Below are 14067 nucleotides of genomic sequence, written 5' to 3'. Positions count from 1 at the left end.
TTGGGTGACTGCCAGTCAAACCACAGATCAAAGGATCTGAATCCAAAAGATCCAATTGTCCAGGGTGGGTGAGTTTACATGCTGCAGGAGCCAGGCATGAATTTTTGGTTTTTAAGTTTATATGTTACTTTGAGACTTCAATTCCCACTCTACTAAGAGAATGTTCATTCTATACATTTGAGGTTTTCTGTCACTCGAACTTGAGGATAGGGGCTTTCAGATAGAGCGGAGAACCTTCCAAACTCAACACGGGAAGGAACTGTGGAGCACTGAGTGTTGGGAACCACAAAGGATGAAGGGAGAGGGTGGCAGGTAATTGCCATTGAGCTTCTTGCACGGCCTGGAGAGCTATGGGTTATGCTAAGAGAGCCAGAATGGCCCTCATCGATGGGACTTCTAGGCAGTCTCTTGTGTGTGAGCCTTGTGAGCAAAGACAGCTTGCTGGGTCAGAGGCACTGTCACAGGAGCTGATGATTTTAGGGGCAGCCAGAAGATGGGTCCCAGGACATCCCAGGACATACAAATGGTAACAATAGACACAGGATTAATACAAACCAGGGTTGGGGGCAAGGGTTGAAAAACTGACTGTTGTGTACTATGCTCACTCTCTGGGTGACGGAATCATTTGTATCCCAAACCTCAGTATCACACAATATACCCAGGTAACAAACCTGTACGTGCACCTCCTGAATCTAAAATAAAAGTTAAAATTATTTTTTAAAAAAGACAGGGAGAAAAAAGAACCTTCAGAAGGGCCCTGGCCAGGTAGGTTTTTGAGGGCATCCTGGAGGAAGAGGGGCATTGAATCAGAGGACACCCACATGTGTGGAATAACAGCAGTGACTGGGGGACCATTTTTATGAGCACAGTCATGAGAGTAAGAGCAATGTGATGGCCCCAAGGCAGGAACAAATCGGCAACGATGTCTACTGATGTGCTATCCCAAAGGGCAAGATTCTGGAAGTATATCATTCTCAAACATGTGTCATGAGTTCTGTTCATTTGGAGGCACTAGTGAGGCTACCAGAAAATCCAGATGATCCCACAGAAGCTTATTTGCAATTACTAGTGCCTCATTGGAGGCCCAGGACAACTGGGAAGACTGTCTGTAGTCGGCTGAGGAATGGTCCCCAGCGGGTCCTAACCCCTGGAACCTGGAAATGTGACCTCATTAAGAAAAGCAGTTTTTGCAGATGTGATTAAGTGAAGAACCTTAAGCTGGGGAGAGTTTCCTTAGTATTCACTGCATTCCAAGCAATGCTGGATGTTGAAGACATAAGCAGTGAACAAAACAGACCCAGATCCTGCCCATGAGGGCTGCCCCCTTCATCCCCGTAGGAGATGTTCCAAATCTTTATCCTCCACTCCATGCTTCTCTCTTGGCTGTCAAAATTGCTTGGCTTCTCTGGAAAGAAGAAAGCCATCAGCCATGCCTTGAATACCCCTTGAGCCTAGGAATGTGATAGACATGTCCCGGACTGGCAACCTGGCTGAGTCCCAGGTGAGAAGGCTGGTTTGCCATCCAGGTTCCTGAAAATGAACTCTGATCCACAGGACAGCAGTAGAAGCTACAGAACCCACACATCAAATGCTCTGAGTCCAAATGATCCAATAGTCCAGGGCGGGTGAAGCTCACATGCTGCAGGAGCCGGGCAGGTAACAGAAATGTGTGAGATAGCAATGGTATAACATGACTATATTGAACAGCTGGGATTGCAAGTATAACAGGTGCCTGGTTAGTTTGCCCTTAAAACATGGTGGGAGGCCAATCAAACCACTTCAACAGATCCACAGGCTCCAACTAGCCCACAGTCTACTGGTTTGCAACCTTTGCTTCTGATTCCCTACCAAAAAAAAAAAAAAAAAAAGCTGAGGAGAAGCCTGCTTCATGAATGAGACACACACCCACACACACACAGTTGCCTTTAGATCCTAAAACAGGAAGGCCTAATTGGTCTGTTGGTGCATTCCTTCATTTATTCATTCAACAAATGCTTACAGAGCACCTGTTAAGTGCCAGGTGCTGTACTTGGCATTAAGGCTACAGCTGTAAATGAACCAGAGAAAAACCCCTACTCATGGAGCTCACATTACCACAGTTGGGGTGGACAGAGAAGCAGTGAATATTTAACAAGTACATTTACTTTTCTTTATGAAAAACATAAACAGGATGGGGCAGCTATTTCAGACAGGAAAGGTCTGTCCAATGGGATATACTGGGCTCAGGTTTGAATGATGAGAGGAGGCTGAGACTGGGGAGCAGAGCTCTTTAGGAGACCAGTGCAAAGGTCCCGAGGCAGGGAAGCGGCTCAGCAGGTTCAAAAGCCAGAGAGGGCACTGTGGTTGGAGGGTGGTGAGCAAGGGGGAAGTAGGAGGCCCACAGAGGATTGCAGCAGCCATATCACATGAGATGCCGGAGGCCACAATAAGAGATGTGCATTGTATTATTTTAAGTTCCCTTGACCCATGACTTCTAGAAGGAGTTTCCCTCCCCAGCTCTGGATTAAAAATTGTGTTTCTTTTAGTCACTGTGCTCTAAAAGTCTCTGACTGTCAATGTCTCCATGTACCATTTAGTACTCAGATGACAGCTCAGATGCCTGTGGAAGAGGAGAGGGCCAAGGCTGGTCCTGGGGATGGTGGCTCCTCCAGCTTCTGGTCACTTCACCTACCCACTGCCATTCCAGGGTATGGCCCCCAGTCCTCCAGGCCTCTCAGAAACAAGAAACTCCTCTCCAGCAAGTACAGGTTCTGTCTATGCCAGTAGCCAACTGGGTTCAACTCTGGTTCAGATGCAGTCAGGGCAGCTGCCCCCAGGCCACAAGCAGAGACAAAAGTAGAGAGATGGGCCCACAAGTGTAGAGTCTCTGATGGACCCCCCAGACTGGGCTGTGGTTCTAGAGGCCAGAAAAGAACGTTATATATCAAAACTATGATATACAACTATGATATATAAAATATATTTATAGGCCGAGTATAGTGGCTCATGCCTGTAATCCCAGTGCTTTGGGAGGCCAAGGCAGGAAGATTGCCTAAGCTCAGGAGTTCAAGATCAGCCTGGGCAACATAGTGAGGCCCTATATCTACAAAAAAATTTTTAAAAATTATATAGGTGTGGTGGGTGCTTGCCTGTAGTCCTGGCTACTCAGGAGGCTGAGGCAGGAAGATTGCTTGAGCCCAGGAATTCGAGGCTGCATTGAGCTACGACCACACCACTGCACTCCAGCCTGGGCGACAAACTAAGACCCTGTCTGTCTATATATAATTATATTAAATACATATTTATCTATTACTATATTAAATATACTATATATTCTACCATATATTGTAAGATGTTAAATATACATTAAGGGTATTAAATTATTAAATATGTATGATATTTTATATTTCATACTTTTATACACTCATAACTGTGATACATAAAGGCAATTTATATATCTAAGACTATGGCTTTCATTGGTTCCTTCCAGAAATATTTATTGGGAGCCAACAATTGCCTAAAATGGTGTAAGTGTTGAGGATTGCAGCAGTGAACAAAATAGATGGCAATTCCTGCCTAGAGGTGGGAGACAGACTCCTTCCCCAAAAGCAAGTGATATAGTAAAAAGTGATCATTGCTCAAAAATAAATAAATAAATAAACTGCAGAAGTCAGATGGGGAGTTCTGATGTGTATGCGGGGTGATATGCTTTAGCTGTGTCCCCACCCAAATCTTGAATTGTAGCTCCCATAATTCCCATGTGTCATGGGAGGGACCCAGTGGGAGGTAGTTAAATCATGAGGGCAAGTCTTTCCCATGCTGTTCTCGTGATAGTGAATAAGTCTCACGAGATCTGATGGTTTTATAAAGGGGAGTTCCCCTACACAAGCTCTCTCTCTTGCCGGACGCCATGTAAGACGTCCCTTTGCTCTTTGTCTTCCACCAAGATTGTGAGGCCTCCCCAGCCATGTGGAACTGTGAGTCCATTAAACCTCTTTCCTTTATAAATTACCCACTCTCAGCTAGGTCTTCATTAGCAGCACAATAACAGACTAATACAAGGGAAGAGGGCAATTGTCATTTTAAATAGAGCTGTTAGGGAGAGTGTGGCCTTCTGGGGAAAGAGAATTCCAGTAAGAGGGCTGAGTACAAAGGCTCTGAGGCAGAGTGAACCTGACATGTTTGAGGAAGAGCAATGTGGCTGGACTTCAGATTGAGGAATATGTCAGGGAGCTGGGGTGCACACGCTCAGACCCCTCCCATTCTGCATCCACCCCACTGCCAATCACCCCTACATGCCCAAGTCAGAAATCCCCTCGGACCAGGTCCAGACCAGATCAGAGTAACTCTCATGCCTCAGAAATAGGCATTTGTTGCCTGCACTCTCACTTAATACTGCTCGGTTACTGCTGGAGATTAATGTTTGTAGGTTTCACTCAGCTATAAATCATAGATTATAGATTGCTGGAATTTTCCATCAAGCCTAGCAGTGGGAATTTTGAAATCAGAGGTAGAGAATTCTTCTAAGATGGGCTAAGAAAGCAACTCTGTCTAGAAAGAACCCCTTTGGCCCAAGAAGGAAGCCTTTGAGATAGGAGAGTGGGCACAGTGGATTGTTAACACAAGACTCATAAAAGATGTAAGGAATCTGACAGCTATAACACTGAAAATGAGTATAAGCAGTAAATCAGTGATGCAATTACGTTTTCAGCAAATAACAACAGAACATGGACTAAATTCAGTTATCTAGCTTTCTGCAAACGTGTGAGGCCCCAATATCTTTCCTAAAGTATCCCCTTTGTGTTAAAAATTATTAGAGGCAGTTTGCACAGTTTGCAAATATGAAAAATAACTTGTACTTTGAGTACTGCAAAATACTTCATACTAGTCGCTAAGGTGAAGGTTTTGGTCTTCTTAGAGCATGGGTAACATTTGGCTGGGAGAACTGGGCAGGGAAATAGAAAAATAAGGATAAAGTGTTCGTTTGTTTATTTGTTTGGAGGCAGGATCTTGCCCTGTCACCCAGGCTGGAGCACAGTGGCACGATCATAGCTCACTACAGCCTCTAAATCCTGGGCTTAAGGGATCCTCCCACCTCAGCCCCTCAAGTAGCTGGGACTACAGGCATACACCACCACGCCCATCTAATTTCTTAATTTTTTGTAGAGACAGGGTCTCGCTCTGTTGTCCAGGCTAGTCTCAAACTCCTGGCTTCAAGTGATACTCCCACTTCAGCCTCCCAAAGTGCAGGGATTATAGGTGTAAGCCACTGCACCTGGCCCAAAGTGGTTTTTATCATATTTCTGATCAGTAAGACTTTGAGCTTTCTTTATTATACTGATATAGTACTTTGCAATCCATACCTTGAATTCATGCACATTATCTCAGACAAGCCCAGTGAAGGAACCATTTTCCTCATTTTACAATACAGAAACAGACTCAGAGAGGTCAAGAGACGTGTCTGAGGTCACACAGTACAAAGCTGGGACTTGAACCCTGGCTGTCTAGCTGCAAGTTTGTCTTTTTCTACTCTCACATCCTTATAAAAATGACTACTTCCCGAGAATAGCTCACTTCCTTTCAAACAAACAAACAAACAAACAAACAAAAAAAGGATTCCAAAATAAGCTCTCTTAGAATTATATTTGTAATAATATAGTGATCTAATTATCCTATACTTCATTGTTTGGGAACATAAAACATCTTGATTGTCTTAGCAGCTGAATTTTCTGGAAAAAAGCCCAACTCACATCACAAACAAAACATGCATGCTTGTACATCTTTTTTGATAGTCCAAGAGCTCTTCTTTAAAATTTTTTAAAAAAAATTTGTGGGCACATACTAGATGTATATATTTATGGGTTATATGAGATATTTTGATACAGACATGCAATGCATAATAATCACATCAAGGTAAATGGGGTATCCATCCCCTCAAGCACTTAGCCTTTGGGTTACAAAAATCCAATTATACAATTTTCGTTATTTTTTAATGTACAATTTAATTGTCTTTGACTATAGTCACCCTGTTTTGCTAGCAAATACTAGGTCTTATTCATTCTTTCTAAAATGCCTAAGAGCTCTTAAAGAGGGCAAAAGTGTGTGTTATTCTTTTACCTTTGGGGTCTAGCACGGCGGCTGGCACACTGTAGACATCAGTGAAGGTTGGTAAAGTGAATCAAAGAACAACCACCGCAAAAGCTATCCTACTTAAGAATCTCTCACATCTCTCCTTCAGCTCCCCTCCAATGTACTGAGTGGCTTATTAATTATAGATGGAAATGGAAGCTCTGAAACAGAAGCCGATGTGGGTATAATCACACCCTGTGTTTGCGCGATCATAAGTAGATTATTAAAAATGGATAAGGCAGCCATAATTGGGCTCCAGCCTACCAGAAATCTTAGAGGAAGCAGATGGAGCATTTGGGCATTTTCTGTGCTTTAATCTAAACCAGCAGGAAAAAAAAATTGATTAGAAGATTGTCTTTCACATTCCATTATTGATGTCCGGGCTATCATTAGCAAACGGGTCAGTGTAAGAGCTTTCCCCAGCCCAGAATCAGAGGCATGGAGATGTTATTTAGAGCAAGTTAAACTTTGTTCCATTTGTCAGGCTCTTTGCATAGTTTAGGCATTTGGCCAAACTTGTAAGTGAATTTTTCCCCAAACACATTTCCCTTTCATTTTGAAATGAGGCTGGAAAGGAAATGATATTAACGCGTTTTCCACTGTTTACGCTTTAAAATCATCTCAAATACTCATCGAGAGGCTACAGTGAAAATCACAAAGAGGTGCTTTCTTAGAAGAAAATAATCAAAAGGCCTCTAGCTTGAAGAAAGAAGACGGTGGTTGGGTAACATACGTGTGGAAAGATGCAAGAAGCGTCTTGTGAAACAATTTGCATTCATACTGACTTGTGTTTAAAATTATAACTACGGAAATTAATAACATTACTTTCATCACTATACTCAGCACCAGGAAATCATAAACAAAGTCATGGGATTGAAACCTAACTGATTTTTTTTAACGAGGTGTCATTTAGCCCCTCTGAACCTCGCTTTTCTCATTTATGAAACGATCATGATGGTAACAGGTATCTGTGGGGTTGCTGGAAAGATGAAATGGCATGGTGCATACAAAACACCTAGGATAGTGCCTCGAATATATTATATGTACATTGTATTAAGGATTGCCATTGAGATTACGTAGCATCTGTTGAAAATGTTTTCATTTTTACCCTTGAATGACACCTGCAGTCATCAGATCTGAGCGTGGAAAAGCCTTCAGAAATGACTCAGCTCTGCACTCTCATGGAAAGGCCCAGAGAAGTGATGTGACATGCCCAAGGCTGAGAAAAGTCAGAATTAAAATCCAGGTGATTCCTTGCCTGGACTCCTGATTGCAAAGTACAGCTCCTCAGGGCCCTCTGAGGTCACGGCCAAATGGACACATCAGCTACTGAATGGAAGCAGACACAGCCTCTCCTGCTCCTCCAGATTCAAATCCAGCTACCCCAGGAGGGACCTCCCAAAACTCTTTCCCATCAGAAATGCTCAAAACCCAAAAGATAAAGGAGGGGAGAGTTGGGTTTCTTAGTGGAGGTTATGTGTTTTGGGGATAAGCATGGGAGCAAGACAGAAGAACAATCCTACATAGCAATAGGATTTCTATTTCTAGGAAAAGACAGGAGACTGAGGACTTACAGACTTAAAGATGCAAAAATAATCTGAAGAAACTGCATCAGGACTGGCAGCTCAGGGAAAGGAATTGCAGGTCACGGAAATGAATATTGAGTAAAGATATCTTGACAGGACTGTCACTTGTCACCAGTCTACATGGCACATTTACATGATTAGCAAAATGTGTCCCTTCCTCAAAACCCTTCTTCCGTCTGCTGGAAAATGGTAAAAGTTATGCAAATCTATAGTGTCTATGATGTAACTTGGGCCCCTTAGGTATGCATGGTTGTGCAGTACAAAACCTGCCCAGTTTCACATGGAATCCCTGCTGAGCCAGTTCACAATCTACCATACTTAGGAAGCAGAGTGCTTTTGCAGAATTAAGTGGAGAATTCTTCTGTAATGTATGTCTATTATTTGTGCCATCTACCAACTATTCATCCTTCTTATAGTAATGATACCCCAACATTTCTTTTTAGAGTTTGAGTGGGGCAGATCCAAATCTCTGCTCAAGAAGTGAGTATATGAGCCATGCCCAAACCAGGCAGAACATCCCACTCGCTAGTTGTGATGAGTGGTCCAAAGATGAGCAGGTGACCCAATCAGAGCCAATGAGTCACAGCTAGATTTTTTCTGGGAATGCTGGGAGAAAAGAAAATTCTGTTGCACTTGGAATTGTGAGGATATAAGGGTTGAAGCATCATGGTAACATAAGGAGTCTGAGAATGAAGTCAGCGTATGAAGTGGAGAGGAGAAAGAGAGAGAGAGAGAGAGAGAGAGAGAGAGAGACAGAGAGACAGAGAGACAGACAGAGAGAAAGAACTGATGCATTGTTCCTGATACCCCAGAAGCCAGATGGCTTGGAGGTGGGAGAAAATCAGAGATTGAAAAGGAATGCTTTCTGAGTTCAAGAGCAGGGTGGCAGGAGAGCCTTCCAGATGTTTAGAGAGCAGCAGGGGCGTGGCAGTTGCAGCTGGACAGGGGAAATTTCCCAAGGCAGCAGGAATTCTTGCAGGCATGGTAGGAAGCAGCCAGCCAGCCAGGGCCTGGAAGCTGAAGGTATTTGAAACCTGCCATGGTGACCTTGTCAAATGTGGAGAAGTCACAAGCCAGGGCTGGGATTATCTGTGGCCTCACCCTCCTTCTGTGTCCCCAAGGATGCTCAACCCCTCAACTTGCAAAAACCCCCAGCTCAAGGCCCACGTTGGGGGAAACTACTAGAAGAATCCATTGCCCTCTGCTTGGGAGGACATGCCAGACCCAAATAGAACTCTCATCAATTAAAAGCAATAAACAAGGGGAGAAATGTGAGGCCTGTGAAAAATGCCAATGTCATAAAATGGGCAGAGGAAAAATGTGGTTTGGAAAATGATTTACTGCAGGAAATAGAGTAAATTCCAACAGCATTTGCTTTCTACTTTTCATAAATTTCTTTTTCAGTGCAGACTCCATGACACAAAAACATAGACGAGTTGAGAAGAAAAGAGATTAAAGTGATTGTAGTTTAAAGCCAGAAAGAAATTAAACCATTTAAAAATGCATTTGAGGCTGGGTGTGGTGGCTCACGCCTATAATCCCAGCACTTTGGGAAGCCAAGATGGGAGGATCACTTGAGCCCAGTAGTTTGATAGCAGCTTGAGCAACCAAGCAAGACCCTGTCCCAACAAAAATTTTTAAAAATTAGCTGGGCATGGTGGCACATACCTGTAGTGTCAGCTCCTTGGGAAGCTGAGGTGGGAGGACCGCTTGAGCCCAGGAGTTTGAGGTTGAAGTGAGCTATGATCATTCCACTGCACCCAAGCTTGAATGACAGAGTGAGACCCTGTCTCAAAAAAAAAAAAAAAAAGCATTTAATACAGTAACAGATAAATTAACAATGCAGAAAAGCAAATCAGTGATAATAAGAAGCCTGAGAAACTTCCTTAGGATTCAGAGGAAAAGGATAGAGGGAAGTGGTGATAATCAAGACAGATAATGTGATATAACACATAGAAAATGTATATCTGTGAACAAGATACCAAAACAAGTACAATAGAAGTAATATTCAATATGAGGGAAAAGTTCCTGAATTAAAGAAAAACCTGAACCTGTGTTTCAAAAGAATATAAATCACATCAGAAAAAAATTCATAAAAAAGAGACTAAAACCTAGATACGTATCCTGGCAAAGTTCTAACTTCAAGGAAAAGAACTCTATAAATACTCAGGGAAAAGCCTACTTATAAAGGATAAAGTCAGCCTGGCCTCAGACTTTACCTCTGTTAACAGTAGACATCAAAGACGATGTTGAGCTTTGGGGTTCTGGAAGCCTGCAACCCCAGAAATCTACACACACAACCAAGTTGCCATTCCCCTATGCACAACAACGGGAAGATATTCTCAGATATTTAAGGGCTCAGGAAGTTCAATACCCACATTCTACATGACTGAAATCATGTTCCAGCCAATCATCAGCTGATTAAAAATACAATAGTGAGACCACATGGGTCCATGCTTAGAAACTGAAAATATGGAGGAAGTAGATGCTCTTCTAGGAAAGGATAAATCACCAAAATTGACTCAAGAAGAGTCAACCTGTTGAGGCCAATAAGTGTGCCAGGATTCTTGCTTGACCAGACAATCAGCCTCAGAGGATGCCCTGTCTCAGTGGATTTTTATTTGTTTTGGCTGCGGACGCTGGGGAGATGCCTTCCTTGGAATTTTTGTGATCATGGCAGTCTTCCAGTCTTGAAGGAGGCCCAGCCACTTCTGCTGTAGGGACCTCTGCCTGTCCCACAATGCTCTCTCCTCTTCTTAGGATGGAAAGAGGGAAGCTGACTTCCGTGGCACCTTCAGGCCCATCTCATCTTGAAGTCTCTGCCATATAGGTGAAGCTATCCTAGCATCTGAAACCAATGCCGATCATCCTCCTATTAGCACTTATCATTATCATGGGAGTGAGGGGAGGAAGAGGGGAAGATGTAGATGCCTATGTTCAAGTTCCCATCTTCCCTAGGAGGCCTAAATTCTCTCTTTTACCCATTCACGGATTCCTGAAATAGCAGTGGTAGAAATTGTTATGAAATCCTTCCTCTTTTCTGTGGAAGATGCCATTTAGAATCTTTTAACTGTTACACCCAACAACATAGATGGATTTCAAAACTTTAGGTTGACCAAAAGAACCCCGACACCAATGTGCATATCTTGTAAGATGCACTGTATGAGTCCACCTGTAAGAAGTTTGAAAACAGGCAAAATTAATCTTTGGTGATAGGAGACAGAATAGGGTAGATTTGTGGGGGTAGCGACTGTCTGGAAAGGTGCATGGGGGGCTTTCTGAGGTGATAGCATGTCCCAGACCTTGATCTGGGTACTGGTTACACAGGTGTGTGCAGATGTAAAAATTTATCAAGCTGTACCATTCCAATTTGTGCATGCTGCTATATGCAAAGTTAAACCTCAATTCTTAAAAACTCTTCAAAGTGGGTGAAAAAGGTAAGCTGATATAAAATGGGATGGCATGTTCAGTAGAGAAAAAAATGTTTCTATAATTTCTTTCGTGAGATTAGTCAGAACCCGATTCCTTTCTCAGTTTGGAAACCAAGACTACGTAAAAATATCCTAAGGGATGTGGGGATTTTATGAAGGACCAAAAGGAACACTTTTTCATCTTTTCTGGAAAAGTACAGAATGAATTCGGTTCCTTGGTGAACACGAGTCACCATCAAGGGTATGTGGTCCTTAGGGCTGGAGAGTCAAGCCTGGAATGATGAGAGAAATGGCTGAGCTTTTCTGCAGGAGAAACACGCATTAATAACCAGCTGGAGAAAATTCTTCAGACAAAATGAATGTGACAGAGAGGGGAAGGGGCAGGCCTTGGGAGGCAGAGAGTCATTAAGGGCTTCAAAAGGCAAGAAAGAGGATGACACAAAGCTTGAGGGAGGAATCTTTGGGGTCCAAGGTGGTGCCTTCTTCTCCCAGGGTGTCTAAGAACTAGTACACATCTGAGCTCATCTGCAGGACCACCCTGTGCCAGAAGGAATGACTGGGGACCAGAGCCAGCAGGGAGATTGCGAAGTTTCACCAGAAGGAACCATTTACTGAGCTTGCCTCCTAAAACATGGTTCTCACATTTGCCATTATAGTAGCTATTTACTACCACAATCATGCTACATTTTAAAACCTCCCACAAAACTCAGAGGTTTCAAAGAGAAATCACTTATTTTTGCTCCTGTGTCTACACTAGGAGCTCATTTAGACCAGGGTTTCTGAACCTCAGCACTATTGACATTTGGGGCCAGATAAGTCTTTAAGATGGGGGCTGTCCTGCTCACTGTATTGTTTAGAAGTAACCTCTATCCACTAGATGCCCATAACATCCTTCTCCTAGTTGTGATAATCAAAAATGTCTCTAGACATTGCCAAATGTTTCCTGATAGGAAAAAACACTTTCAGTCGAGAACCACTGGCCTAGGCTGAGCTTCAGCTGGGCTCACCTGGGCTTGGGTCTAAGCTTCAGGTTGGGTCCAAGCCTGCTCCACGTGTCTCTCATCTTTTAGGAACCAGATGGCTCAGGGTATTCTCATAGGTGACTGCAGAAGGACAACCCCATAAGCACATTTCAAATGTCTGGTCATGTTACATCAGCTAACATCCCTAGGGCACACAGTCAAGCCCAACACTGATGGAGTGAGGAAGCATACCTTGCCCCAGTGGAGGGGAGATGGGAGTGAATATTTATGGAATAATAATCTAAACTACCACAGCCATCAACACGACAATTGGCTTGAAATTATATTAGTCTAAGGCGTCCTTCACCTTTTATCTTAAATTATCCTAGAGGAGACCCAGGAAATATGATAAACAACTAGGAGATGGGAAACTCCCAGGAATCAGGAAAGTATGGATTATATCTGAGATTCTCTCCTTCAGGAGGGTAGATTTTCAGCTTTATTCTTAAACCCATATTTTATGGCTATACCACTCCAGTGAGGAGACAGCTGGGCTGCAATGGAGAAAAAAAATAGCATCAACTTAGAATCAGAAGACTAAGTTCTAATTCTAGTTTTGCCAATTATTGGCTCTTTGATTTTGAGCAAGCCCCTTGACTCCAATAAGACTTGGTTTCCTCACGTATAAAATGAGACAAAGTCAGTTTCTACCCAACAGAGTTGATGTGAGCATTAAATTACATTATGCACATAAAATGCAGGTGGTTTATATAAATGATGTAATATGTGCCCCATCAGTTCCTCCCTTCCCTGTACACACAGGATGCTCTTCACATAAGAGATGGGGTCTCATTCCCCTTCCCTTGAATCTAGACTGGCCTCAATGACTTGCTTAAGGCAAAAATGATGCTCTGGGACTTCTGAGACCAAGTTATAAGATGTCCTGCAGCTTCTGCCTGGACCTCTGGAAACGCTTGCCCTTGAGATGCTCCTTCCCAGAACCCAGCTGCCATGTGCAGGAAGCCCAGGCCCTACAGAAAGGCCATGGGTAGTCACTCTGGTTGAAAGCCCAAACTGAGCTCACAGGTGACAGCCAGAAGCAGCTCCCAGCCATGCAGGTAAGTCATGCTTGACATTCATCCCAGTAGAACCCTCAGATGGTTACAGCCCAGCTGATATTCAACTGCAGAACTGCGGCTGTATGAGAGATTCTGTTTTTTTTGTTGTTGTTGTGTTTTTGGTGTTTTGTTTTCTGTTGTTTTTGTTTTTTGAGATGGAGTCTCGTTCTGTAGCCCAGGCTGGAGTGCAGTGGCACAATCTCAGCTCACTGCAACCTCCGCCTCCCGGGTTCAAGGGATTCTCCTGCCTCAGCCTCCCAAGTAGCTGGGATTACAGGTGAGCTCCACCACACCTCGCTAATTTTTGTATTTTTAGTAGAGACGGGGTTTCACCATGTTGGCCAGGCTGATCGCGAACTCCTGACCTCAAGTGATCTGCCTGCCTTGGCCTCCCAAAGTGTTGAGATTACAGGTGTGAGCCACTGCGCCCGACTTATATGAGAGATTCTGAATAAGAACAGCTCAGCCCAGTCATCACATGGAACCATGAGAAATAATAAATTATGGTTCAAGCAACTAAATTCTAGCGTTGTTTGTTATATACCAATAGATAACTGGAGCAATGGCATGCCATTATAAGGTATTATTTTTTAGGGCAATATCACACATATATACCTACCGAGAGTATTACACCCATTCGAGCCCTGACATAGTTACTAGAGTGAACAGTTACAGTTGCTGCCACTGTCCTTCATTCTGATTATGCTACATATCATTGCATTGGAGGGAACCACCCTTTCCCTACATGTGTTTTGGAAAGGGGTTTCCATTAAGGGTTACCCATTGTATTAATAGCAAATACAAATGCAGGATGCCCAGTTAAATGTAAATGTCAGATAAACAATGAATGTTTTTTATACTA

General features: G+C 43.2%; 1 protein-coding gene across 1 annotated transcript in view, besides 1 other annotated feature; it reads right to left on the bottom strand.

Moving 5' to 3' along the window:
* The window catches only part of HS3ST2 (heparan sulfate-glucosamine 3-sulfotransferase 2), a 102177-nt gene that overhangs the window by 52195 nt on the left and 35915 nt on the right, over positions 1 to 14067 (bottom strand). The gene's annotated exons all lie outside the window — the stretch shown is intronic.
* Positions 3723 to 4286: an enhancer, noted in NCBI's record as "OCT4-NANOG hESC enhancer chr16:22871179-22871742 (GRCh37/hg19 assembly coordinates)". NCBI's record gives its function as "activates a minimal SCP1, AML or CMV promoter by ChIP-STARR-seq in naive H9 embryonic stem cells {active_cell/tissue: H9 hESC(naive)}" and the evidence as "EXISTENCE:reporter gene assay evidence [ECO:0000049][PMID:30033119]".

The sequence above is a fragment of the Homo sapiens genome, chromosome 16 (assembly GCF_000001405.40).
Source record: "Homo sapiens chromosome 16, GRCh38.p14 Primary Assembly".
Lineage (NCBI taxonomy): Eukaryota > Metazoa > Chordata > Mammalia > Primates > Hominidae > Homo > Homo sapiens.
This window is presented reverse-complemented; position numbering and strand designations above follow the sequence as displayed.